The sequence below is a fragment of the Homo sapiens genome, chromosome 15, assembly GCF_000001405.40.
Source record: "Homo sapiens chromosome 15, GRCh38.p14 Primary Assembly".
NCBI classification, from domain to species: domain Eukaryota; kingdom Metazoa; phylum Chordata; class Mammalia; order Primates; family Hominidae; genus Homo; species Homo sapiens.
Window position 1 is genome coordinate 24433487 of NC_000015.10, and position 26282 is coordinate 24459768.

General features: G+C 38.9%; 2 long non-coding RNA genes across 2 annotated transcripts in view; both read left to right on the forward strand.

Annotated features, from left to right (window-relative positions):
• Positions 1 to 26282, forward strand: part of LOC105370733 (uncharacterized) — a 440742-nt gene that overhangs the window by 331807 nt on the left and 82653 nt on the right. The window lies entirely within an intron of this gene.
• PWRN3 (Prader-Willi region non-protein coding RNA 3) lies at positions 7641 to 14481 on the forward strand. The gene is made up of 4 exons (NR_130780.1): positions 7641 to 7714; positions 9262 to 9505; positions 11007 to 11147; positions 14092 to 14481. It is a non-coding gene; the product is annotated as a Prader-Willi region non-protein coding RNA 3 (long non-coding RNA).

Below are 26282 nucleotides of genomic sequence, written 5' to 3' on the forward strand. Positions count from 1 at the left end.
TAGAATGACTGTGTGTGTGTGTGTGTGTGTGTGTGTGTGTGTGTGTGTGTGAGAGAGAGAGAGAGAGAGAGAGAGAGAGAGAGAGAGAGAGAGAGAGAGAGACAGGGTCTCACTTTGTCCTACAGGCTGGAATGCAGTGGACCAATCTCATCTCACTGCAACCTCTGCCTCCTGGATTCAAGGAATTCTTGTGCCTCAGCCGCTGGAGGAGCTGGGACTGCAGGCATGACACACCTGGTTAATTTTTGTATTTTTAGTAGAGATGGGATTTTGCCTTGTTGGCCAGGCTGGTCTGGAACTCCTGCCCTCAAGTGATCCATCTGCCTCTGCCTCCCAAAGTACTGGAATTACAGCTGTGAGCCTCTGCACCTGGCTGAAACTGCCTTTGCAAAATTATGACTGAGACAGTGAAAGAGATCTAACCTAACCGACTCCATCTTGCTTCTAACCTTTTAAGCAGTCCTTGTTCCTTCCTGGGCAAAGTTAAACTAACTTTGGGAGGAACTTACTTTACAGCTTATAGTTTAAAACAAAGACAGTAACAGTACTTTCTCAAAACAAACCTCTTTCTTACCTGGAGACTAGACTGCGTTTGTAGGACTAAGAAATTAGCCACATGATTAGAAATTATGGCTTAGGAGTCATGCAGCTGGAGGCTACAAGATTCTGACCCTCCCTAAACTGCTCCAAAGATCAGTGCTTGAGGTATTTTGCAGCCCCTGCACTTGATGGATCAGCTGGCACAACCCTGGTGGATAAACTGCCTGATCTGATCTTGTGGCCTCCACCTAGGAACTGAGTCAGCATACGAGGACAGCTTGGACTCCCTGTGATTCCATCTCTGATCTGACCAATCAGAACTCCCAACTCACTGGCCTTCCCCCACCCACCAAATTATCCTTTAAAACACTGATACCTGAATGTCCTGGGAGACTGATTTGAGTAATAATAAAACTCCTCCAGTCTCCTACACAGTTGGCTTTCTGTGAATTACTCTTTCTCTATTGCAATTCTCCTGTCTTGATAAATCCACTCTTTTAGGCAGCAGGCAAGGTGAATCCATTGGGTGGTTATACTGTATGTCATTTTCAGCATAGACTGTCTTCTTGAACATACATTTATTTTGTCCCATCCCAACCCCCAAAGGATGTGGCTAGGAAAAGAAGAAAAAAAAAAAGGTCCCAACATCTTTTCTTTTTCCTTCTGGATCTCCTTTCCGGAAGCAGGGCGTCAGTGACAGGAACATTTTGACCCCAGCTCTTAGTCCCTCTTAGGTCTGTGGAAGCCTCAGAAGGCGTGGCCAGGCCAGGGCATCCTGGCTGAGCACAGGGTTTGGCACCTCCTCCCTCCCTGGCACTATGCAGACAACTCTGAGTACTGAAAGATGAAACTAACACACCTCAAGGAAGGATACGTACCTCGATGCATGCCACAGAGACACACTTCCAGGATCTTTTTAAGACCTTACCCATGTTTTGCAAGGAAAAGCAACACAGAACTGAAGTGCCTTCAGTTATTTCAGGTGGGGCTGTCTTGTACAGGGCAGTCAGGGAGAGAGACTGGAAGGTAAGGGGAGGGGACAGCCAGTCCTTCCAGTTAGCAAAGTTCAGGCTCACTGACTGCTTCTAAGTCACTGCTCACTCACTGCTTCTTAGATTAGAATACCCTGGGAATCAGCTACAATAACCTCAGACAAGGAACCATAAAAACCTGAAATGCACATTGGGTGCCAGCCAACAATGAAGCTTGGCTGCCAAGACAAAAGTTGCTCTTTCTCTTCCTGCTACCTTGGATGTTCCAGGTTGTAATTTGCAAATGTATTGCCTGGCCCTTAAGGGTTGGCAGCTAACGATTGGTTGCAGAAGGAGCCTGGCCTAGGAGTGAGAGAGATGCCAGCACAAGAGAAACCCACTGACTATGAGCCAGGAAGTGGGCTGTCACCAGACACCAAACCTGCTGGCGCCTTGATCTGGGACCTCCCAGTCTCCAGACTCCTCAGGGCCACTGTCATCTTGTGAAGCAATCACCACATGTTCCCATCACAGCTGATGGTGGCAATTAACCCATGCAGAGTACTGAAATGAGCCAGGCTCTGTCTGCCCTCTCATGTGTAGTCACCCAGTTAATCCTGGCAGCAGTCCTGGGTTCTCTGCATTTCCAGAGTGCAAGTCCTCCAGTAACCACTGAAATGCTTTCTCAGGAGTTGTTGTCAACTCCTTAAAAACATTTCTCCTTACTTGGCACAGAGCACAGTGACACCAGAAACAGGCTTCCCTGGACCCCAACCCTGGCAGTGGCCATGTCACTCAGGCCCAGGAAGAAGGCAGGCTCTGGTCTCCCGCTGGGCAGCAACACCTAACTTAACCCAGATTTCTCACTTGGGTGAACTCTTGGATCACCATGCCCAGTCTGACGGAGTCTGCAGCAGATGCAATAAGGGCTTTGGGGCCTGGAAGTGGAGCTCATCCAGGTGCCAAGCCCGAGATTGGGCACCCCTCCTTCACACCATCTGTGGGGACTTCCTCCCTTCCCCGGGGGAACGCCACTGAGAACCGACCTGACGGTGCCAAGAGGGCGAATTTCCCCCAAGTCCTCTGAAATATGTTGTCATGATTTGTAACAGGAAGCAGAGTGAGGAGCACAAAGTGCTTCCAGAGACTAGGTGATGGGCCACATCCCTGGCCGATGTGTTGAGCCCCTGAACCAAAGTCTCTGCGACCACCACCTTTGCCTGTCTGCCCCAGGTTTCTAAGCATGTGCTCCGCAGACTCTTGTGCCCCAGGCCACCAGCCACTCTTGCCTGTACTCCCCCAGCCCCAGCGGAGCTGCCACAGGCGCCTTCTGCTCACCAGGTGGAATTTACCTTTTATCCTGTGCAGCAGGCTGCAGAACGCGCCCCTCCGCTCCCTCCATGTGGGACTGCAAGGGGTCGGGTCCACCACCGAGGCTGCCTTTATGGAGAACCCTGCACTTGTCCCGAGCCTGAAACCCCCGAATTGCAGGGTCCAGGAAGACTGGAGGTGGCGCCTGATAGAATGACTTCCTTTCATTTGGGTCCATGCCCAGTGGTGGGATTGCTAGATTGAATGGTAGCTCTGCTTTTAAAAGTTCATTGAGAAATCTCCATACTGTTTACCATATAGGTTGTACTTATTTACATTCCCACCAAGGGTGTCTAAGCATTCTCTTTTCACTTCATCCACACCAATATCTATCATTTATTGACTTTTTCATAACGGTCCTTCTGACTAGGGTAAGATTGGTATCGCATTGTGGTGTTAATTTGCATTTCCTGATGATTAGTGATGTTGAGCATTTTTTTTTCATATGTTTGCTGGCCATCTGTGTATCTTCTTTTGCCTGTTCATGTCATCTCCCCACTTTTTAATGGGGTTATTTATTTTTTTCTTGCTGATTTGTTTGTGTTTCTTGTAGATTCTGAATTAGTCCTTTGTTGGATGGACAGTTTCCAAATATTTTCTCCCATTCTGTAGGTTGTTTCTTTACTCTGTCGATTATTTCTTTTGCTGTGCAGAAGCTTTTCAGTTTCGCTAAGTCCCATTTATTTGTTTTTGTTTATGTTGTAGTTGCTTTCAGGGTCTTAGTCAAACATTCTTTGCCTAGGCCAATGTCCAGAAGATTTTTTCCTAGTTTTTCTTCTAGAATCTTTATAGTTTCGTGATTTACATTTAAGTCTTTAATCCATCTTGAGTTAATTTTTATATATGGTGACAGATAAGGATCCAGTTTCATTCTTCTGCATGTGGCTATCTTATTTCCCAGCACGTTTTATTGAATGGGGTGTTCATTCCTCAGTGTATGTTTTTGTCTGTTCTGTTGAAAATCAGTTAATCGTAAGTATTTGGCTTCATTTCTGGGGTCTCTGTTCTGTTCCTCTGGTCTGTATGTCTACATTTATACCAGTATCATGTTAGTGTGCCAGCAGATGTTGTAATGGACTGTGTTGGTTGACCGTGGGCCAGAAGGTGGCACTTGCAGGAGAGAGCCAGCTGCAGTCACGGTAGTGGGATTTATGCTTAACCTTTGTTACCCAGGGGAAGTAGTCAGCTGATGGGAAGTGACATGGAACTCTGAAAAGTCCCTGTTCTGCTACTAGGACAGGTAGAGGGGCAAAGCCGAGTGTGGGCTGGGTCAGGAAAGTCCATACTCTGCCTCTCCAAGTGTGGGTGTAAGCAGCAGCCACAATGGGGATCAGTGGACAGTTCCCTGACCACTGGGATAGTGTTCCAGGGAGGAGAACACCCTCTGCCACATGAGAGTCTGTACATGGAGAGAGGGGTAGCAAGAGGCAGGTCAATTCCCACAACCTTGACACAGAAGGTCTTACACATGCAGACTTCTGCTGGCAAACACCCACAATAGCCAGCTAAGTCTCAGGCAGTCTAGGCTGAGAACACAAACCTGCCCCAGGCTGCAAGACTTCCCACTGGAGACTGAAACTGAAACGGTAGCTCTGAGGCCACACCCCTTGATTTGACATGTGAAGCAGCACTACCCAACTCCCATGACCCTGGCACAAGAAAGCTTCCTGCATGCCCCTTGGTTCAGGCCTTAAGGGGTTCATCCTCTGCTCAATATTAGATCAAATACAAATCTTAGTTGGTCAGCTTCTCCCTCAGTTGGGAGCTTCTTCCAGTGCATGACTGCTGCCTGGGTTACTTCGCTGATTTCTGCAAGATCTTCTGTGAGTTAGGGTCAGGAATAGCTTCCTTCTGTCCCTGCTGGGATCTGGGAGTGCACACGCAGCACACCCAGGTGCCACTCCTTCTTTCATGGTCCCCTCCTCTCTAAGTCAGCTCCAGTGCTGGGCAGGGTTAAGGTGCTTCCCTGTGACCTCGATTGCCTGGTACCCCAGTGGGAATGTATCACAGAGTCTCCCCCTTTTGCACTCTGAAGGCTCAGTTGTCCATCTGACACATGGTGCAAGTTGCTGCCTGCTGCTCCTTTCAAAGTATCCAAAGGTTCTTTCACTTCTTCTGCTGAGTTCCTGTGATTGTTGGATACAAATTCACAGTGTGAATCTCTAGACACTATTTTGCTCTTTCTAAGCAGGTGAGGCACACTAACAAAGTCTCCAATCTGCCATCTTGAAAAAAAAAAAACAAACAAAACAAAAAATGCTCCACTTTATGAGCAGAATGTTTACCAAAAGTTATTTGGACCTTTCATCCTGAAAGTGTCTATTCTCCTCCAATAATCGTTATATTTATGCAGTCATTTTTGTCAGTATGCAAACATGGATATTTGTTTTACTCTTTCCTTCTACTACTTCATTTATTTGTTTAAATTGTTGCAGTGTTGGCTATTGGAAGGTCTTTCAGTTGGATCGTTTGTCATTTTGAAACACTACCATAATGAAGCTTCGCTGTTGTTATGTGGTTGGTTAGTTGTTTGCACTGTTGTTTGGCATTTTATTTTTTCTGGCACTACTAGGTACTTAAGCTAATTGTGTGGATTTCCTAACAAGCCTGGTATTAACCACTTTTTTTTTCACAGAGACCTAGTTCTTTATATTGGAAAATTGAATTAGAAATGGAGATCTGGGCCCTTGACATATTCATTGCTCCTGGGGCATCTGTTGATTTGTGATTTTGTGTGGTGACAGAGCAAATACATCTGTGTATGCTGATTCACACACACACACACAGAGACACACGCACACATAAATATTTTATCATGTATCTGTATCTTTAAGTTAAATATGAATTCCTAATAATCCTCCAGCACCCCATGATCTAATCCAGTACCATGTGAATCAGTGCACCTATTCCCGCTTACTTGTATATAGCCTACCACACTAACAGTGATAAAGATGCTTCTGTTATTTAATCACATAATCCGGAAGACTTGTGTAAGTGGTTTCAGAATTAGAAATGTATATGGCCATGAGAAAGAACTTTACCAACTAAAGTTTTTAGGGATAAATCTTTACCCTTTAGACTCAGAATATCCACTTACTTGCTATGTTCCTTGGGTCAGCTGCTTTCCCCCCTCCATTCAGTGAGGTTATTTCACTGATGTGTTATTTAATTCTATTATGTGTATAGCCCCATGCTATCTGCTACCTACTGTAGAAGGTTTTCAATTTGTATATTTTAAGTTCATTTTTTGTATTATAAAGTTATTTAGGATTTGGAAAATATAATCATGTATTTATCATTACAGTATGATGCCAGAATAATTTCACTGCCTAGAGCAAATCTGCTGTACCTCACCAGTTTGACCTGCCTCTTTTCCAAGCTCCCAGTAAATACCAAACATTTTATTATCTCTCTACTTTTTCACATTGCAGAGTGTCACATGACCAAAATCACACAAAGTATTTTGCCTTTTTAAATTTACTTTTTTTTGCAATATACCCTTTAGATTTGTGAAGTGTGTCTCATGGTTGTTTAGAGTTGCATTTTCCTAATGACAAAAGGCTTAGGCCTCATATCATGTGCTTACTAGACATGACTATAGTATCTTTGGATACATGTCTATTCAGATAGTTCACCAATTTGATTGTGATATTTGCCTTTTTATTTTGAGTTGTAAAATATTTTATATATTGTGGCTAATAGATTCTTTTCTGCTATGTGATTGTGAAGATTTTCTTCTATTCTTTGCATTATCTTTTTAATTTTAATTATGTACTTTGAGTCTCAGAAGATTTTAATTCTCACAAAGTTAAATATATTCATTTTTTTATTTCCTTTTCTTCGGCTTTAAGTATCATAACTTAGAAATTATAGGAGTTATTGTTTAAGCTAAGACCCAAATTATGTATTTCTGTATTATCTTCTAAGGGTTTGGTCTATTTAGCTCTTACATTTGGATATATGATTAATTTGAGCCAATTATGTATAAGATGTGAGTGAGAAGTTCAACTTGCTTGTGGATATTCAATTGTCCTAGCAACATTTGTTACAAATATATTTTTCCGTATTGAATTGGCTTGGCAACCTTATAAAATCATTTGACTATAAAGGTAAAGATTAATTTTTGGACATTCAGTTCTACTATATTCCTTTGATCTGTATGTCCAAGTTTATGCTATTATTGAGCCTTTAAATTAAATTATGATGATACTGAGTTTTTCATGGATGCCCTTTGAAATAAAGAAACTTTTCTTATAGGCTTAATTTGTTGTATACTGTTATCAGAAATGGATTTTGGATTTGTCAGGTGCCTTTCCTGCATCTTTTGAGATGATCATATGGCTTTTGTTTTTTATTTTATTCTTATAGGTCATGACACTAATTATTTTATATGTTGAACCAAATTTGCATTTCTGCGACAAATACCCTTTTTGATGGTGTATAATTCTTTTTACATTTGCTGATTTGTATTGCTAGCATTTTATTGAAGACATTTACCCTTTATTTATAAAACATATTGGCCTTAATTTTTCTTTCGTGAAATGTCTTGCTTTAGTTGTAATGTCAGTGTAAACTAACTAATAGTATACATCAGGAAGTGATATCTTCTCCACTTTTACTGTTAAGTTTTTATGAAGAGTTTGTGATAGATATTTATTAATTATTTTCAGGTTTGGAATAGTTCACCAGTGAAGTCATCTCAACCAGCACAGGGCCTTGACTCCTAACAACAATCACACGAACTTGGAAGAGGAGCCTTCCCCACCTGAACCTTCACTTGAGACCTCGTCCTTGGCCATCCTCTACATCTGGATTCATGATACAGAGAAACTGTGAGTAAGAGCCACTTAGTGTGTGACAGTTTATTATTCAGCAATAAATAATACACCTGACAGTCAATGCAATGTGGTATCCTGGACAGAAAAATGACATTTTTTACTTAAAAGCCTAGTAAAATATGGAAAAAGCCTATACTTCAATAAATAGTTTTGTGCCACCTATTTTTTAGGGCTCATGGTTACATAATCTATTACATTGCATGTAATTCAAAGATATATAAAGCTTTCTGTAGTATCTTTGCATATTTCTGTGTATTTAAAATTATTTCAAAGAAAAAATGTGTTTGAAAAAAGTATAAAATGTGATATGAAAATAATTCCAAAGCACAAACAGAATACCTTCAGCTCAGGAGATGAAAGGGCACATAGAGAGAGAATAGCAAAGCATACTTCCATATCAATTTACCAACTCCAACACAGGTACACTTGCTTCAGGCAGATCCCCCTCAAGTTCCAGAGACTAATCCTCTTTCATCTTCTTCATCATATTCTGCATTTTTCAGTCACCAGTTTTAGCATCTGGTGCTAATTATGTAACCACTTTTTGAAAGACAGATGCCTGTTACTTGCATGTCTCAAAACGGCCCATTTTCAGATATTATTTAGCAGGACTCCAACAAACAGACCAGAATTTATTCAGAGCTTGCAGTGAGGAGTGTCTTAATGCCAACACGACTATGTTGACAACACATCCTCTTGTGAGTGAAGCATTCATACAGAATCAGTCGCTGAAACTCAATAACATATGCCTACTGTACAAGAAGGGTACTAATCAATATAATGCTCTAAAATTATTCTGGGGACATAGGGGACATGTGTCCAAGATTTATGAGATGTGAGCAACCAAGAGAGCGTGAACACTGATATTTTACAAGTGCTCCAAATCAGTAGATGGGCATTTGATTTTCCAGTTAGGGCTGCAGTCAGGGTCTCTTGGCTTCAATACTGTACACGGAGAATTTCATTGACAGATCTTGGTTAAAATAACAAAAATAATAACAACCCCTCATCTATGATATTGCAGCCTGGCACCATTTAACTTAATTTTACTGCATATAAATAGCAACCCTATACTCCATGCAAACTAGAATGGCAGTGGAATTGATGTAGTGAAGAAAGTGACAAATTATTTTCCAAATATAAAGCAAACTTAAGGTTTTATAGGGAAACAAATGGAGGTAAGAATATTTTTATCCTTATTTTTCTGATAATTCTGTTCTGCTCTTATAAATAGAAAGCTCCACTTTCATTATTTCATAATGTAGTGAGTTTATCAGCCACATGTATGAAAATTGCATAGTAAAAGTAGGTTTGTGTCCACTTGGTTGGTTCATTCGACTTATATACATCATTTACTTTATCTCAAATGGTTATTATAAGATAAAATGGTTATTTTGAGATAAAACCAAAGCCTTGGTTTTTGTACAACATGTAAAGGCGTCAGTCTTTGTGCAATATTAAATCTTCATTCAAGTAACTTTTCTTTGTGTCTTTGCCTTTGTTTCTGCGTTGCTCCTGTACTTCTGTGAACCATATTTCAGTGAGTAATGATGACAATAGCAGTCCAGTGTGCATGGATGCTGACGTGGATGCTGTCTCCCATTCTTACCACTGGATGGGAAGAAATGATAGATGCAATCCAGCCATTGTGTTCTCGACTCTCAGTTCCATCTTCTCAACTGACATTGTCTTCCAAAGTCCGTGCCACACCACAGCCTGGAACATCTCCCAAAGTGGTATCTTGATGCAATGGTAGAGCTCATGTCACAGTATTGTATGTCTCAGGTATCGCTGTCCTTCACTGTTTGATATAATCTCTCTTACAAACCATTGTTCCATACACTTTGCCCCTTTTGTGTTTGTTTATACATGTGGTATGGCATGTCTAAACCTCACAGTGAGGATATTAGAATAGGGTTCTGCATATTTAGAGGTGTGGATCATTGGGAAACATCTTAGAACCTACCTGCCCCATCAGGTCCTGTCTAATCTGTATCAGTTTCTGGGTCTTCACTTATTTTTTTGCCCTTGATCTTAGTGAAAAGAACTTGTCAGGTGTTCCATAGGATGTATCACAATATGGATTTGTTATTTTTTTATAATTTGAGTAAGATTAAACATTAATTTATACACGTATTTATCTAATGTTGAAGACAAAAAATACCTGAACAATATATTATTTAGAAATACAAATTTAGAAAATAATAATGAAGAACGAGGCTTGGCACAGTGGCTCATGCCTGTAATCCCAGCAATTTGGGAAGCTCAGGTGGGTGGATCACTTGAGGCCAGGAGTTTGAGCCCAGCCTAAGTAACATGGCGAAACCCCATCTCTACTAAAAATACAGAAATTAGCTGGGTGTGGTGGTGCATGCCTGAATGTTTCATATATTCTGGATAATAGTCTCCTAACAGTTATATGACTTGAGAATATCTTCTTCCATTATTTCAGTTGTCTTGATGGTGTACTTTGCATCTTAAGAGGTATTGATCCACATGAAGTTCAATGTATCTATTTTTTTTTCTGTCACTTGTACTTTTGTGTCACATGTTAGAATCCATTGTTTCATGTAAGGCCATGAAAATCTATTTTTATGTTCTCTTCTGTGGGATTTTTAGTTTTAGCTCTTATATTTAGCCACATATTCTATTTTGAGTCAAATACATATATGGTGCAGGAAACAGTTTAACTTGCATGTGGATATCCCTTTCTCCCAGCAACATTTGCTGAAAAACTACTTTCTCATCTTGAATTAATTTTTCAACCTTGAAAATAAGTTTGCCCTATATATAAAGATTGATTTTGGGGTGCTCAACTCTATTCGGTTGGCTTATATGTCTTTCCTCATGTTATGTGAGTTTTCCATGGATGCTCTTTGTAGGTTTAGAAAGTTTTCTTCTATGCCTAACTTTCCCAGAGCTCTTATCATGAATGGGTTTGGAATTTGTCAAATGCCTATTCTGTGTCTTTAGAGGTGACCATGAGTCTTTTTAAAAAATTCTATTAGTATATTTTATAACACCAGTTGTTTTTGTATGTTTAACCAGACTTACATTGCAGGGATAAATAGTTTTGCTCCTAATGTATACTCCTTTTTATATATTACTAGTTAATTTTGATAGTATTTCCTTGATACTTTTTACCTGTTTCACACTGGTCTGTAATTTTCTTTTCTTGAAATGTCTTTGTCTAGCTGTGGTGTCAGGGAACACTGGATTCATACATTGCATTAGGAAAAGTTCTCTACTTGTTTGTTTTTATTGATTGTTATTAATTCCCAAAAAGGTTTGAATAACTCACCAGTGAAGTCATCTTGACCTGGACAGAAATTGAATCCTCCCGAGAATCCCAGGAGCTGGGTAGGTGATCCTTCCCCAGATGAGCCTTCCCTTGAAATCTCTGCCAGGCATCTGACCCAGAGAAACTGTAAGTACTATGTAGGGCTGGGTTGGAAAGTCTAAACTATGTAGTAATATGTTATACAACAATCGGTCAGTTATATGCCTGACAGTAAATGTAATGTGGTATCTTGGATTAGATCCTAGAACAGAAAAATGACACTAGTGGAAAAGCTGGTAAAATATGAAGAAAATCTTTTCCAGTTAATAGTTTTGTACCACTGTCAATTTCTGAGTTTTCATAAATATGCTATGGTGATATAAGGTGTTAACATTTCAGAAAGCTGTAGGATATATGAAACTCTATTATCTTTACTACTTTCTGTAAAACTAAAACTATGATAAAATAAAAATATTTCTTAAAATGTAATATTCAGGTACCAGAAAATAAAACAACAATAACAAAGACAGATTTAAACCACAATAAAACCACAGATCAGAGGACAAATGGAGATATAGGGAGACTATGGCAAAGTAGCTTGCCTTATTATCCCCCATTCCTACACAGGGCACCTGCTTCAGAAAGACACCATCAAGCTCCAGGGACACTCATCCACTTTCCTCTTTCCCATCACACTTCCCATTACCCAGTTATCAATTCCTGTGTTCATAACCACTTTTTCAAGGAAAGACGCCTTTCTCACATATGTTAGAAGGCCCTGTTTTCAGGCACTTTCTGTCAGTGTCTTTGTAGGATCTCACTATAAAGACATTTTAGAAGACATGACTTCCAGATATTAGAAGAAAAGATTGAGAAACACCAGTGATGGTGAACATAAATAGTTCTGAATTAAGAGTGTTTTCTTAGTACAGGGATTCCTTTTATTCCCCAAGTTTTAAAGGAAGAGGATGCCTTAAGCCTTTGAGAAAATACTGTAATAATTCAGTTTTCTTCATCATGCAGACTCCATTATGGATTTATGGGACCACACATTCTCTTGACACTCACATCATGGATCTATATTGTCCTGTGGTATATTAATCTGTTCTCATGTTGCTGATAAAGACTTACCTAAGACTGGGTAATTTATAAAGGAAAGAGGTTTAACTGGCTCACAGTTGCACATGGCTGGGGAGGCCTCACAATCATGGCAGAAGGGAAATGAGGAGCAAAGTCACATCCTACATAGTGGCAGACAAGAAAACTTGTGCAGGGGAACTCCCATTTATAAAACCATCAAATCTTGTGAGACTTATTTACTACCATGAGAATAGTATGAGGGAAACTGCCCCCATGATTCAGTTTTGTCCACCTGGCCCTGCCCTTGACACATGGGGATTGTTACAATTCAAGGTGAGATTTGGGTGGAGACACAGCCAAACCATTTCAAGTGATAAACCCAAAAGCCACAGAATAGACATTATCATGGAGGAAAGTTAACTAGATATGAAAAAAGTTTATAATCATGGAGTTGTAGGTTCATTCCTGCTCAAAAAGACGTGGAAATGAACCTTTAGACAGACATCAGATATATGAAGGTGAGGCATGTTAGTAATACAGATTGTGTTGTGCAGAGGTGGAAATAGCCTAATAGAAAAAAGGAAAGAAAGTATAACGTACCCCAGCCCACCATGTAGTGATCTAAGAGATGGACAGAGGCCGAGTGCTGACTGTGCATATGTGCGGGCTAAACAAAGATCCCCACGGCAGGGAGGACTGTTCCCCTTCCCCAACACAGCTCCTTGTTCACAGGCCACACCACTTTACAGAGGAACACCAGGGATGTTCCAGGAACCATGCCCACAAAGCTTACTAAGCCATGGGACTGCATACTACACTCCCAAGGACATCCACAAAGTCAAGACTCTTGCTTTTTCAGACCATGATCATGGACTGCATTCTCCATACCATGTTCATATCTTCAGTGGGAAAACAAACTCCTGAGTCCTGGAGACCTAGAATGAGAGACACAGCTGACCTTGACCGTATTTCTCACTTCTGAGAAGATTGTAGCAGTAATTCAGGTGCTATTATTTGGGGCATTTATAATTCAGTAAACCTTCTTACCCCTCTAATCTTACAATTCACCCCATAGGAAAGGATAGTTTCATTTAAATTGGCAATCTTAAGTCATGGAGGTTTGCTCTTTTTATTTCATTATAACAGGAGTTTCTGTAAGGTAAGTGACTTGTACAATCCCGTTTTCCTCTTTATTTCAATGCATACATATGGTCTATTATGATGTGTACTGTTAAGATCATCCATGACCAAATTCTTCAGGAAAAAAAAATCACCAAGTGGCAGGCCATGAAGGAGACAGAAGTAGATTTGTAGAAGGACAGACTCATCTCTAGGTGGCAAGAGGGTTGAGGAGCTCTGAGTGCTCAGGTTTAAGACTGGAAAAGTGATTAGACATGAAACTCTGCTACCATAATGTCCCAGGCACAGAGGACACAGTGCTGAGCACTAAGCTCCTAAACATTACCATGAGTCTGGATTGGCTGAATCTGGATTGGCCACCAGAATTCTCAGAAAGATGCCATTGAAAACACCCCATCATCTGACCACATCCTTAGGCAAGAACCCAGTGCTGTCTCTGCCCTCTAGTCTGAATACTGAATCAAGTTTAAAGGGTGCATGACTCCTACACTTGAGATTAGGGCTTCTTGTTCACTGAATTGAGCCCTAGTAGAAGCTGAAACTCTCGGTACAAATATGCTCAACATTCTAAATTATAAATTATAAGAGTTTCCTCTTCATTCAGTACACTATTTGGGGAACATCAAAGCCTGTTTCATTTTCTAAGTATCGACAAGCGGGGCTGACAAGAGTAACAAGTGGTCAGAGCAAGGCATTTCGTGAAAACAGCAATGCACAGGTGTCTGCAGTCCCTGCTTACAGTGAGATTCACATGACCATCGTTCATGGGATACGAAGGATAAAAGGGGAGGGAGAAAAAAATATGTAGTTGATCTGGATGAAGAATCGGATTTGAAAGCAACTTAGAATAATCTCTGCTTATATTTCTAAGATTAAGGCAAAAAGTCTCAAGATACAGGATTTTCTGTCTTCAGAGAGCTACACTCCGCTGCAAACTTTCAAGTAACACTTCACCATTTCTATCTTCCTTCTCCATGGGATCTTTGAGCCATAATTTATAAAATCACCTCTACATCTCTTGTATTTTTGTTATGTTTAATAACCACTTGAGGTCTCTCTAGGGACAGTGACTATAAATTATCACCCTGCCCAACAGGACTTCAGGAAACTGTGTCCTGGATGTTTACAGTGTGCCTTTCATGGGATACTTATTTATCCTGGTGGATACCCCAAAGCATAAGTGTACAATCTTTGACCCAGCATCCTTCTCACAGGATATTTGTTTATACCGTCAGACACCCTTGTTGCACTTGTCGGACCTGTGTCCACTCCATTCCCACCAAGGTAGCCACTATCTAGGAGAGCTCTGAGTTCGAAAACAGTTGAGTTCACATGTGTTGCTCGTGTGAGACACAGAGGAGGCAACTCAACAAAGCACAGGTATTTCTTGCAGTTGGGGATCGTTGGGTACCATTGCAGGGTCTAACTGACACATTAGGTCTTCTCCAATCTGCAAGTTCATAGTCTTCACTTCTTTTTCTTGACCTTGACCCTGTTGAAGTGTACAGGTCAGATATTTTGTAAGATGTCCCACAATATGGATTTGTCTCATGATTTCTCATGATTAAACTAGGGACATGTATACATTAAACACATGTCATCTAAGTTTGAAGACAAGAAAAACTAAACATTATGGATATTAGAAATATAAACATAGAGATAAATATAACAAACACAAATTAGAGGATAAATAAATTCACAGTAATAGCGACCTTCAGTGATTAAGGAAGGTGATGAAGCTAAGGAGATCCATGAATGGCCATCAACATATTGCTCATGTTCTATTTTATAAGATCAGCAGTGACTTTAAATAAAAAGAAACTTTATACATTTAAGAATCATTTAGGTTTTACAGAATTGTTTTAAATACAGTACATAGACTTTCCATATTTCCCACTACAGATGCTCTTTTTATTAACTTCTTAATTTAGGACATTTGTCACAATTAACCAATTTTAAACAGTATCATTATCCACTCTTCATAGTTTATTCACATTTTCTTAGTTTTCACTTAATGTCTAATTTCTATTCCAGGATCCCATCCAGGATACCTCAGCACAGTTAGGTATCATGTCTTCTTAGACTTCTCTGACTGTTGCAGTTTCTTAGAGTTTCCTAGTTTTTGATGACATTGACATTCCTAATGTGGGATTTCTCTGAGGTTTTTTTCATGTTAAGACTAGATGTGTGGGTTTAGGAGAGGAAGATGACAGAGGAAAGGTGCCATTCTCCTCACATCATACCAAGGGCACAGGCTCTCAACAGGCTTTATCATTGTTAATGTTAATTTGATCACCTAGATGAGGTTGTTTTTATCAAATTATCAAACACTGTGAAATTATTATTATTTTTCCCTTTCCCCATAGAATGTTTCCAAACAAAGTCACTAAAACAACACGCATTCAAGAAGTGGGGGTCATGGGCCAAGCACGATGGCTCACGCCTGTACTCCCAGCACTGTTGGAGGCTGAGGCAGGCAGATCACCTGAGTTCAGGAGTTTGAGACCAGCCTGGCCAACATGGCGAAACCTTGTCTCTACTAAAAATACAAAGATTAGCTAGGCACAGTGCTCGTGCCTGTACTCCCAGCTACTCGGGAGGCTGAGGCAGGAGAATCACTTGGACCTGGGAGGCAGAGGTTGCAGTGAGCTGAGATCACACCACTGCCCTGCAGCCTGGGCAACAGAGCGAGACTCCAGATTCCATCTCAAAAAAAAAAAAGTGGGTATTCATGATCTACCTTCTTATTGGCAGAATGTCTACAAATATATTTGAACCCTCAACCATAAACATGTGTCTATTCCATTACATATTTATTCATTTATACATAAATTATTTATATCATCATCTCAACATGGATGTTTATTTTACACTTTACATATGCTAATTTATTTGATTGCTCAAATTGTTCCATGGTTGGCTATTGGAAGGTTTTTTAGTTGTCTCTGGTATAATTTTGAAATACCCACATAATTAAGGTTCAATGTTGTATGGTTGGTTGGTTTTGTTGTTGTTTAGCATTTTCTTTTCTTTAACCACTACTAGGTGCTCCAGGCTAACTGTGCATTTAATTGTACTGCAGGCTAATTGTATGATTGTATAATTTCTACTAATGTTTCCAATACCATATGATCTAATCCAGCACCATGTGAATGATGTATGTAGTCTCTTACTCTCCCTGTGAAGAAGTTGATGCTGTTCACTTAATCGTACTACCTGAACATCCATGCAGAGTGGTTTCAGAACTGGTAACTTATACCCCAATGGGAGACAATTTTACCAAGTAAAGTACAGTACTTAGGTATAAATACTTTGGCTTTTAGCCTCAGAATGTCCACTTATTTCCCAAATTACTTAGGTCCATTGCTTTCCTCTACTTTCTTTAGTGAGGCTATTCCATACATTCATTACATAGTTATATTATTTTTTTGGGCATTCCTCCTTGGAAACCCTCTACCTACTAAATAAGGTTTTAAATTTGCATAATTTAAATGCACTGTTTGTGTTATAAAGTTCTTCAGGATTCAGAAAACATTATTATTTATCCACCATTACAATATCAGAGAGAGTAATTTCACTGCCCCAAAGAAACCTCCTGTATTTCACGCATCCCACCTTCTCTTTCCCAAGCTCCTCGTTACCACTGAACTCTTTGCTATCACTATACTTTTTTTTCTTTTCTAGAGAGTCATGTAGGTGGAATTACACAGTATTTTGCCTTTTCCAACTTATATTTTGTCACATAGCAAGATACCTTTTAGATTTTTGAAGTATGTATCATGTTTTTTTAGACTTCCCTTCCCCTATTGTTGCAGGACAGGTGATCCCCAAATTTGGGGCTTCAGTGAAGGGTTCTTGGCTTTGCCTGGGAAAGTATTTAAGGGCAAGCCAGTGGTGATGGACAGAAATGGTTTATTGAACAGGACTGCTTCTTAAAGAGCAGGGCTAATTCATAGACATTGCATCGGTTGGTAACCTATGGGCCCTTGTCAACTATCTTTACACTAAGGTACACCCACTTTCAATTACATGTAAATTGAGGGGTGGATCAATGAAACTTGATGGGCAGGTTATTCAGAACTTTCCAGGACAGGAGTGGTAATTTCTGGGTTGTTGCCATGGAAAGAGGTGGTAAATTCTGGGTTGCTGGCATGGAATTTGTAAACAATCATGGCGCTGGAGGGAATGTCTCATGCCAGTGAGCAATGAGGACAACCAGGAATCCCTGTGTCTCTTTTTGCCAGTTTCTTCACTGTATGCTGTCTGGACCAGATCTTGTTTTGATCAGCAGGGTTGTGACTAGGAAACAACTTGCCGGTGTCCTACCTCATAATGGCAAAAGACATTGAGTGTCTTTTCATGTGATTTGGATATGACCATAGCTTTTCTGGAGAATTGGGTATTTGAATAATTTCCATTTTTGATTGAGACATTTGCCTTTTTATTTTTGAGCTCTAGGATGTTGTCATATATTATTAACAGTAGACCATTATCACCTATAAAATTTGCAAATATTTCGTTTTTAATTTAACTTTTATTTTAATTTTCAGGGTACATGTGCACGTTTGTTACATAGGTAAACTTGTGTTATGGTGGTTTGATGTAGATTATTTTCATCACCAATGTACTAAGCCTAGTGCCCATTAGTTATTTTTTCTGATGCTTTCTCGCCGCCCACTCTCCACCATCTGATAGGCCTCAGCTTGTGTTGTTCCCTGCTGTATGTTTATGTGTTCTCGTCATTTACCTCCCACTTACAAGGGAAAAAATACGGTATTTGGTTTTCTGTTTCTGCATTAGTTTGCTAAGGATAATAGCCTCCAGCTCCATCCATTTTCCTGTAAAGGACATGATATTCTTGTTTATGTCTACGTAATGTTCCATGGTGTATATGTACCACATTTTCTTTATGCAGTCCACCATTGATGGGCATTTAGGCTGATTCCATATTCTTGCTATTGTGAATAGTGCTGCAATGAACATATGCATGCATGTGTCTTCTTCGTAGAACACTTTTTATTTCTTAGGGTATATGCTCAGTAATGGGATTGCTGGGTTAAATGATATTTCTGTTTTTAGGTCTTTGTGGAATCTCCACACTGCCTTCCACAATGGTTGAACTAATTTGGACGTCCACCAACGGTGTGTAAGTAATTTCTTTGTTCCGCAACCTTGCCAGCATCTGTTAATTCTTGACTTTTTAATAATAGCCATTCTGACTGGTGTTAGATGGTATCACATTGTGGTTTTGATTTGCATTTCTTTAAGGATCAGTGAGGTTGAGCTTTTCTTCATATGATTGTTAGCCGCATATATATCGTCTGTTGAAAGTGTCTGTTGATGTCCTTTGCCCTGTTTTTTATGGGGTTGGTTTTTTTTCTTGAACATTTGTTTAAGTTTCTTATAGATGCTGGATATTAGACCTTGGTCAGATGCATAGTTTGCAAAACTTTTCTCCCATTCTGTAGGTTGTCTGTTCATTCTGTTGATAGTTTTCTTTTACTGTGCAGAAGCTGTTAAGTTTAATTAGATTTCATTTGCCAATTTTTGCTTTTGTTTGCAAATATTTACTCTCATTCTTTGGGTGTCTTTATTTTTGATGGTGTAGCATGAATCACAAAAGTTTCAAATTCTAATGAGGTTTAATATACCTGTTTTTTCTTCTTCCCTTTTGCTTTCAGCATCATATCTTAGAAAAGAGTGTTTAACCTAAGACCACGAAGATGCATTCCTGTGATATTTTCTATATTTTGGGCCTGTTTAGCTATTATATATAGATATATGATGATTTTGAGTCAATTTCAGTGTGAGGCAGGAGTTCGACTTCCATGGAATATGCACTTGTTTCAGAAATATTTTATTAAAAATATTTATCCATATATAATTTATTTGGTGACATTATAAAATTATTTCGCTATAAATGTGAGTATTCATTTTTGAACATTATATTCTATTACATTGATCAACATCTATATTCTTATACTAGTACCATAAATCTTGATTACTATTACTTTGCAGTGAGTTTTGAAGTCAGGAAGTATGTATCTCCCATGCCAACCTTTTTTCTTCTTTCTCAAAATTATTTAGGCTGCTCTGTGTCTATTGCATTATATATGAATTTTAGATAAACTTTGTGAATTTAGAAAAAGGAAATGTCACCTGGGATTTTGATAGAGGTTGCATTAAATCTATAGATCCATTTGGAAAATATTGCCAGGCTAACAACATTAACCTTTATAAGCAATGAATAGTCAAAGGTTTTTTTCCATTTTTTTCAAAATGTTTTCTATAGTTTTTGTGTATATATCATATACTTAACTTGATAAACTCATTTTTGATGCCGTCTCAAATGGAACATTCTGAATTTGTTTTAGAATGGAACATTGAACATTGTTTTAGAATGGAACATTCTGAATTTAATTGCTAGCATATAGAAATTCAGAGGATTTTATATGTATTGACCTTATATACTGTAAGTTTGTTGAACTCATTTCTAAATTCTAACCATATTTGATTAAAGCCCTTTGGAAATTTTATACATAAGATCAGGTCATATGCCAGCAGACATAGTTTGACTTCCTTTCCATACTGGAAGCCTTACATTTATTTTTCTAGACTAATTGCCATGTCTATATCCTCCAGTAGAATGTTGAAAACAAGTGTCAAGAGTGGAAATCCTTGTCTTGTTTCTAATCTTGGAGAAATTAGTGAACCTTTCAGATAACTTATGATGGTATGTTGGTTTTTCATGGATCCTCTTTAAAAGGAAGACAGTTCCCTTATCTGCCTCATTTGCTGCATGTCTTTCTCAGGGATTTTGAGAATTCTGAAGTGCCTATGCGTCTTCTGAGATGATTATGTGGTTTTTGTTCTTTATTATATGAATATAGTGCATAACGCTAGTTGTATGTTGAACCAAATTTTGCTTTCCTGAGGTAAATACCCTTGACATACTGTATAATACTTTTTACATGTTTCTGGTTTGTTTTACTAATATTTCCTTGATGATTTTTGCCCCTGTATTCATAAGGTATAGTGTTCTTCATTTTCCATATTTGAAATGTCTTTGTCTAGTTGTGGTATCAGAGTAAACTAACTCTGTATATAATGGGAAATCATGCCTTCTCCACTTTTTTGAAATAATTTGTAATAAATTAGTATTAATTTTTTAAGTCATTCTAATAATTCACTAATGAATTCTTCTTGATGAGGTCAGAGAGGTTAATCCTAAGAACAGTTACATGAGCTTGGAAGGAGACCCTTCCCCAGCTGAGCCTTAGCCTGGACCATCACCTACATCTGGACTGAAGACCTAGAGAAACAGTGAGTAATATGTGTGTGGTTTTGAACCACTAAGATGTGTAGGAATTTGTTATGCACCAAGTCATAAGTAATATACTTGAAAGTAATTGCAATGTGGTATTCTGGGTTAGGTCTTTGAACAGATAAATATATCATTATTAGAAATTCTGAGGCTGGGTGTGGTGGCTCATGCCTGTAATCCCAGCACTTTGGGAGGCAGAGGCGGGTGGATAATCAGTTCAGGAGATTGAGACCATCCTGGCTAACATGGTGAAACCCCCTCTCTAATAAAAATACAAAAATTTAGCCAAGTGTGGTGGCGGGTGCCTGTAGTCCCAGCTACTCAGGAGGCTGAGGCAGGAGAATGGCCAGAACCCGGGAGGTGGAGGTTGCAGTGTGCGAAGATCGCGCCACTGCACTCCAGCCTGGGTGACAGAGCATGACTCTGTCTCAAAAACAAAACAAAATATAACAAAAAGAAATTCTGGTAAAATATGAAGGAAGTCTGTAGATCAGTTAATAGTTTTGAAACAGTGAAATTCTTAGTTTTCATGAATATACTATGGTTAGAATAGTACATTCTAGTTAGCTGAAGGGTATATGGAACTGTCTGTTCTACCTGTGTATCTTTTTGTAAATCTGCAATTATTTCAAAATAAATTTGTTTTCTAAAATTATTATATTTTTTAAAAGAAAACAAAGACACAAGCAAAAAACTTTGGCTTCCAGAGACAAATGGGCACATACAGAGAGAAAAGCAATCTAGCCTTTTTTATCTAGTTGCCTTTCCAAACCCAGGTGAACCTGCTTCAAGAAGGCACCATCAAGCTCCAGGGACTGTCATCCTTTTTCTCCTTCTCCGTTACGCACTTAGCAGTTAGAGTGTCAGAAACCACTTATTCAGATAAAGTTGCCTTTCCTTCACATATCCCGGAAATCCCCATGTGTAGACATCACTTCGCAGTGTATATTCAGGATCCCACTGAAGCATTTTTGGGAGATATGACTCTCAGATATTAGAAGGCAAGAATAAGAAATTTCAGTGACAGGGAACATAAATCATATTTCTGCATTCAGGATAATGTTTTCTTGGTACAGGGATTTCTTCTTCAAGTAATCAAAAGACAACTGTACCTTCAAACATTTCAGAAAAATATGTTCTAATTTAGCTATTTTGATTCTACAGACTCTATCAGGAATCACTTGGGACTGTGCATTCTGTTGACACTCACTTTGTGGAATTAAGTTGCCCACTGCCAACCCTAAAGCCACCAAGGTAGCAGGTAAGCAGAATACAACAAATGTTTCTAATAAATTGGTTTGGGCCAGTCCCTACTTGCAGAGACCTGTATATGAATCTTTTACACAACAGATTTTTTGCAGTTGGATGCTAGTAAGTGGAGAAAGCAGCTGACAAAGTGCTGAGCAATGAGTCTCCAGACAAACTCTAGCTGCATGGAAGATGTGATTTCCCACAATATCTTAAACCAACAGTTCCTTAGAGGCTGGCCTGGACACCACAATTCTAAAAGAGATACCATTTAAGAGAAACCAAATTCTAGACCAGATCATGAGGCAAACACCCAACACTTTGTTTCCACGCTCTAACCTGATTAGAAGTTGGAGTTCAATGGAAGAATGTCTTGGATATTTGAGAGCATGACTTTATCTTTATTTAATTTAGCCTTGCTGGAATTTAAAACTGTAGGGCAAAATTCAGTCAACCTCCTAAATTATGTGAGTTTTTGTTTTTGTATGTGAGTTTCTGCATACACATAAAGAAACTCCCATAGTTTAGGAGGTTGACTGCATTTTGGGTATATAGAAATTCATACTTTATGTGTTTCTTCTTCAATCAGTATATTCCTGAGGGAAAACCAAAAGCAATCCTCAAATCCAAGTACCCAAATTAGGGTTGAGCAAAGTAGCAAGGGGGCAGATTAAAACATTTTATAAAGACCATTATGCATCTACTTCTGCAGTGACTAATTACCAAGTGATTTCTATGATCACCGACCATATGGTTAAAACAGCAAATGGGAATGAAGAAAAAAGAGTTACATAAATGTTATAGCTGAAAGCATGGAATTTATAATGAAGCTTACAAGGGTCATTGGTCAAATTCCTAAGATTGCAGTGGGAAGTTTCAAGATACAGCTTTTTCTAGGTCTTTAGAAAGCTATCACTCGAGTGAATTTTTCAAGTAACTCTTTATAATTTCTATCTTCTTCCTCAATGGATTTCTTAAACCATAATTCATAAAACTACATTTCCATGCATAACCGAAGAATTATAGAATTCCACTAATAACTGTAATGTCTCTAATAGCTATGTAGAATGTAAATACACTTGGTAAACTTATGTGATAAGATTTAAGCATGTTTCTTCAATAACAGATAAGAATACAGTTGATGAGCCACCATAATCTAACACTGAGAAATGGGCAGTCACAGAGGACAGTGTATTCCATTCATCGTAGAGGGCACATTTTCACTTTTATGAAGCACAGATGCACCTTAAATTTATTAGTGTTAAAACATTATTGACGAGAAGGTGACCATAACGTGATTGTCCTCATTTACATATACATGAGCTTGGTCTATAAACCTTCCATTGACATCTTCAGGTCATATCATCAACATCATGTCTTGCATAGGGGGTTTCAGACGGTTGGAAAGATAAACTCACAGGAGCAACATAGGAATCTCGCAAGAAGTGCAGCATCACCAAAGCGTCAGATTAGCACAGGTGATAATAATATGGGGAAAATCATGAGCAGATGAGTTGAAGAGTGATTCAGGAGAGTTACATCTCAATGAGAGAAAATTTAGGAAAACCTTTGTCAATGTATTTTTCTTGTATGTTCCATCCCATGTAGGAATGACACAAGACAAATATCCACATGTATGCACATTGAAAATATTTTTTCCAGTAATTGTAATGTATTTATGTTATTACTATGTGATTTATTTATAAGTGATAAAAGTACTAGTTTCTTCATTTGTTAGTGGTTTTGTTCTTCCATTCTGGTGTATGAAATAATGACATGTTACAATACACAAATGATATATCTCACAATTTATTAGAAAATTAATTTTTAGGGGTTAGTATAGGGTTGATAATACACTACAAGCTTTATATGTTATCATTTCATACAATCCACACTGACATCTCAAGAAGTAAGCATGATTTTCACATCTGTGGTCCATTTTGGAGTCTGAGCTGACTTTCTGCAGGAAAGGTATAAAGGAACCTTGAGTTTGATACTGTCTGCCCCAGAGTCTTTGCTCACTTTGACTATGTAGAATGTGTCTTGTATTACATGGTAAATAATTTTCAGGTCTCGTTAGACAGCTCAGCCTACCCTCTGTCATGAAGATATTTTCCTAAATTGTTTTCTGAATATTATTTTTATATTTCAGCCTATGAACCAACTAGAATTGATTTTGTGTGTATGTGAGGTCAAAGTTCAGATCTTGGTTATTCCCTGTGGATATTCAATTTCCTGGAACACTTTAATAAAAATTGGTCTTTCCCCCATGCATCAATGTATAAATTAATTTTTGTATATGTATATGTGTGCATTCTAGCTCTGTTTTTATTTTTTAAGTTACTGGTTGTTTCTTCTATCTTTGTGCAAATTCCACACTGTCTTATTATTATCATTATTATTATATATATATTTTTTGATACAGAGTCACTCTGTTGCCCAGGTTGGAGTGCTATGGTGCAATCCTGGCTCACTGCAACCTCCTCCTCCAGGGTTCAACGATTCTTGTGCCTCAGCCTCCCGAGTAATGGATTATAAGTGTGCACCACCACACCCGGCTAATTGTTTTTTATTTTTATTAGAGATGGAGCTTCACCATGTTGGGTAGGCTGGTCTCGAACTCCTGATCTCAGGTGATCTGCCCGCCTCGGCCTCCCAACATGCTGGGATTACAAGTGTGAGTCACTGCACCTAGCCCACACTGTCTTATTATTAAGAGAGTCTATTTAGAACAATAATTTTTTCTCCAGAGGTTGCTTTATATATTTTCTTTTCTAAGAGAGAGAGAAGATTTCATCCTGTTGTCCAGTGAGGGTATAGTGGCTCAATCGTAGAGCAGATTCTGTGTTCGAACTACTGGGATCAAATGATACTCCCCTCTCAGCCTCCTGAATAGCTAGGACTACAGGCACAAGCCACCATGCCTGGTTAATTAATTTTTTTTTTTTGGTAGACACCAGGTCTTCCTGTGTTTCCCATGCTAGTGTAGAACTCTTAGCCACAAGCAATCCTCCCTGCTTTGTCTCCCAGGGTGCTAAGATTACAGGTGTAAGCCACTGTGCCTGTCCCAGAGCCTCTTCTTTTAGCCACGGTACTTCTCTATAATGAAGTAAAAAATGTAACAACCTGCATGTCTTGCACCTACACCAATACTTTCAGCTGTACCTTGAGTAAAGCTGTAGGTTTAGAACTTTTTTTAAAAAAAGAATAAATTTTAATTTTTTTTTTGAGACAGGATCTGGCTCTTACACCTGGGCTGGAGTACAGTGGCAAGATCTTGGCTCACTGGAGCCTCGACTTCTGGACTCAAGCAATCCTCCCACCTCACTTTCCCAAGTAGCTAGGACCACAGGTGCACAACTCCATGTCCAGTTAAATTTTTTTTTTTTGTATTTTTTGTAGAGATGGGGTTTCACCTTGTTGCCCAGGCTGATCTCGAATTCCCGAGTTCAAGCAATCCACCCACCTCAGCCTCCTGAAGTGCTGGGATTACAGGTGTGAGCCACCACACCCGGCTGGTTTAGAACTTAGAACATTGCTGTAGACTCTTAAATCCCTTAATATCCTTGTGAATCTTAGACAATCCCCCAACACCACTCCCCACTTTATGTATACTTTCAGCAACAGCCAGTAGTACTGAAAACCTTGAGATGCACCCATAGTAACCTCCTGCACTGGTGTAGATGCCCCTGTGACAGATTGTTTCTCCTCCGGACCATGTCCACCAAAATCAAAGCCACATGGGAGCCTCTGAGCTCAGAGACACTGTCTGGGGTCTCCATGCACAAGGGCAGCAGCTCCCTGTCCTTTCTGTTGGTGAGGTGGGGAATTCAGTTCTTTTGAATAAGGCTGAGTTTATTCAGTACTGATTCTGCTGGCTGACCAGTGATACCTTAAGACTTTATTTCTTGCATTGTAGTGTTTATCCTGGTTTTGATATGATTTGTTGTGCAAATGTGTTTAACACTTGGATGTAATTTTTTCTTTTTTTGTTCTCATAAACATCATCTAAAAATTTTTATTTTTGTGTTGTGTATTTAAGGTCTTTATTCCTCTTTTAAAAATGCATTCACAATTATTTTTCAATGAACACTTTTAATTATTTTAATCTTTTCTCATATTTCTCCTAAACTGAATGTGAATATCACTTTTATTAGAAAAGACAGATGTTACACATTCTCTGTTTTATGTTTTTGTACAAATTTTCTCTGAAATGTCTCTGGTTGAAAAGGAGAAGGACAGAAACTGTTCTGGAAGCCACAAGGCAAAATTGGCTCAGATCCTCATGCTTAAAAAGATGTGTGAAACTTTCCATTATATGGCTTAGTTTGCTGTACGTGTGGAAGGTTAACAAAGTATTGATTTGTGTAGCGGTACAGTAACACTTCACGTCTGAATAGAAGGAACAACCACTTCCTAACTGTGCAGGTGTGAACTTCATGATGTTGCTTTATCTTCTCCTTATACAAATATTTAGACAATGCCTGGAC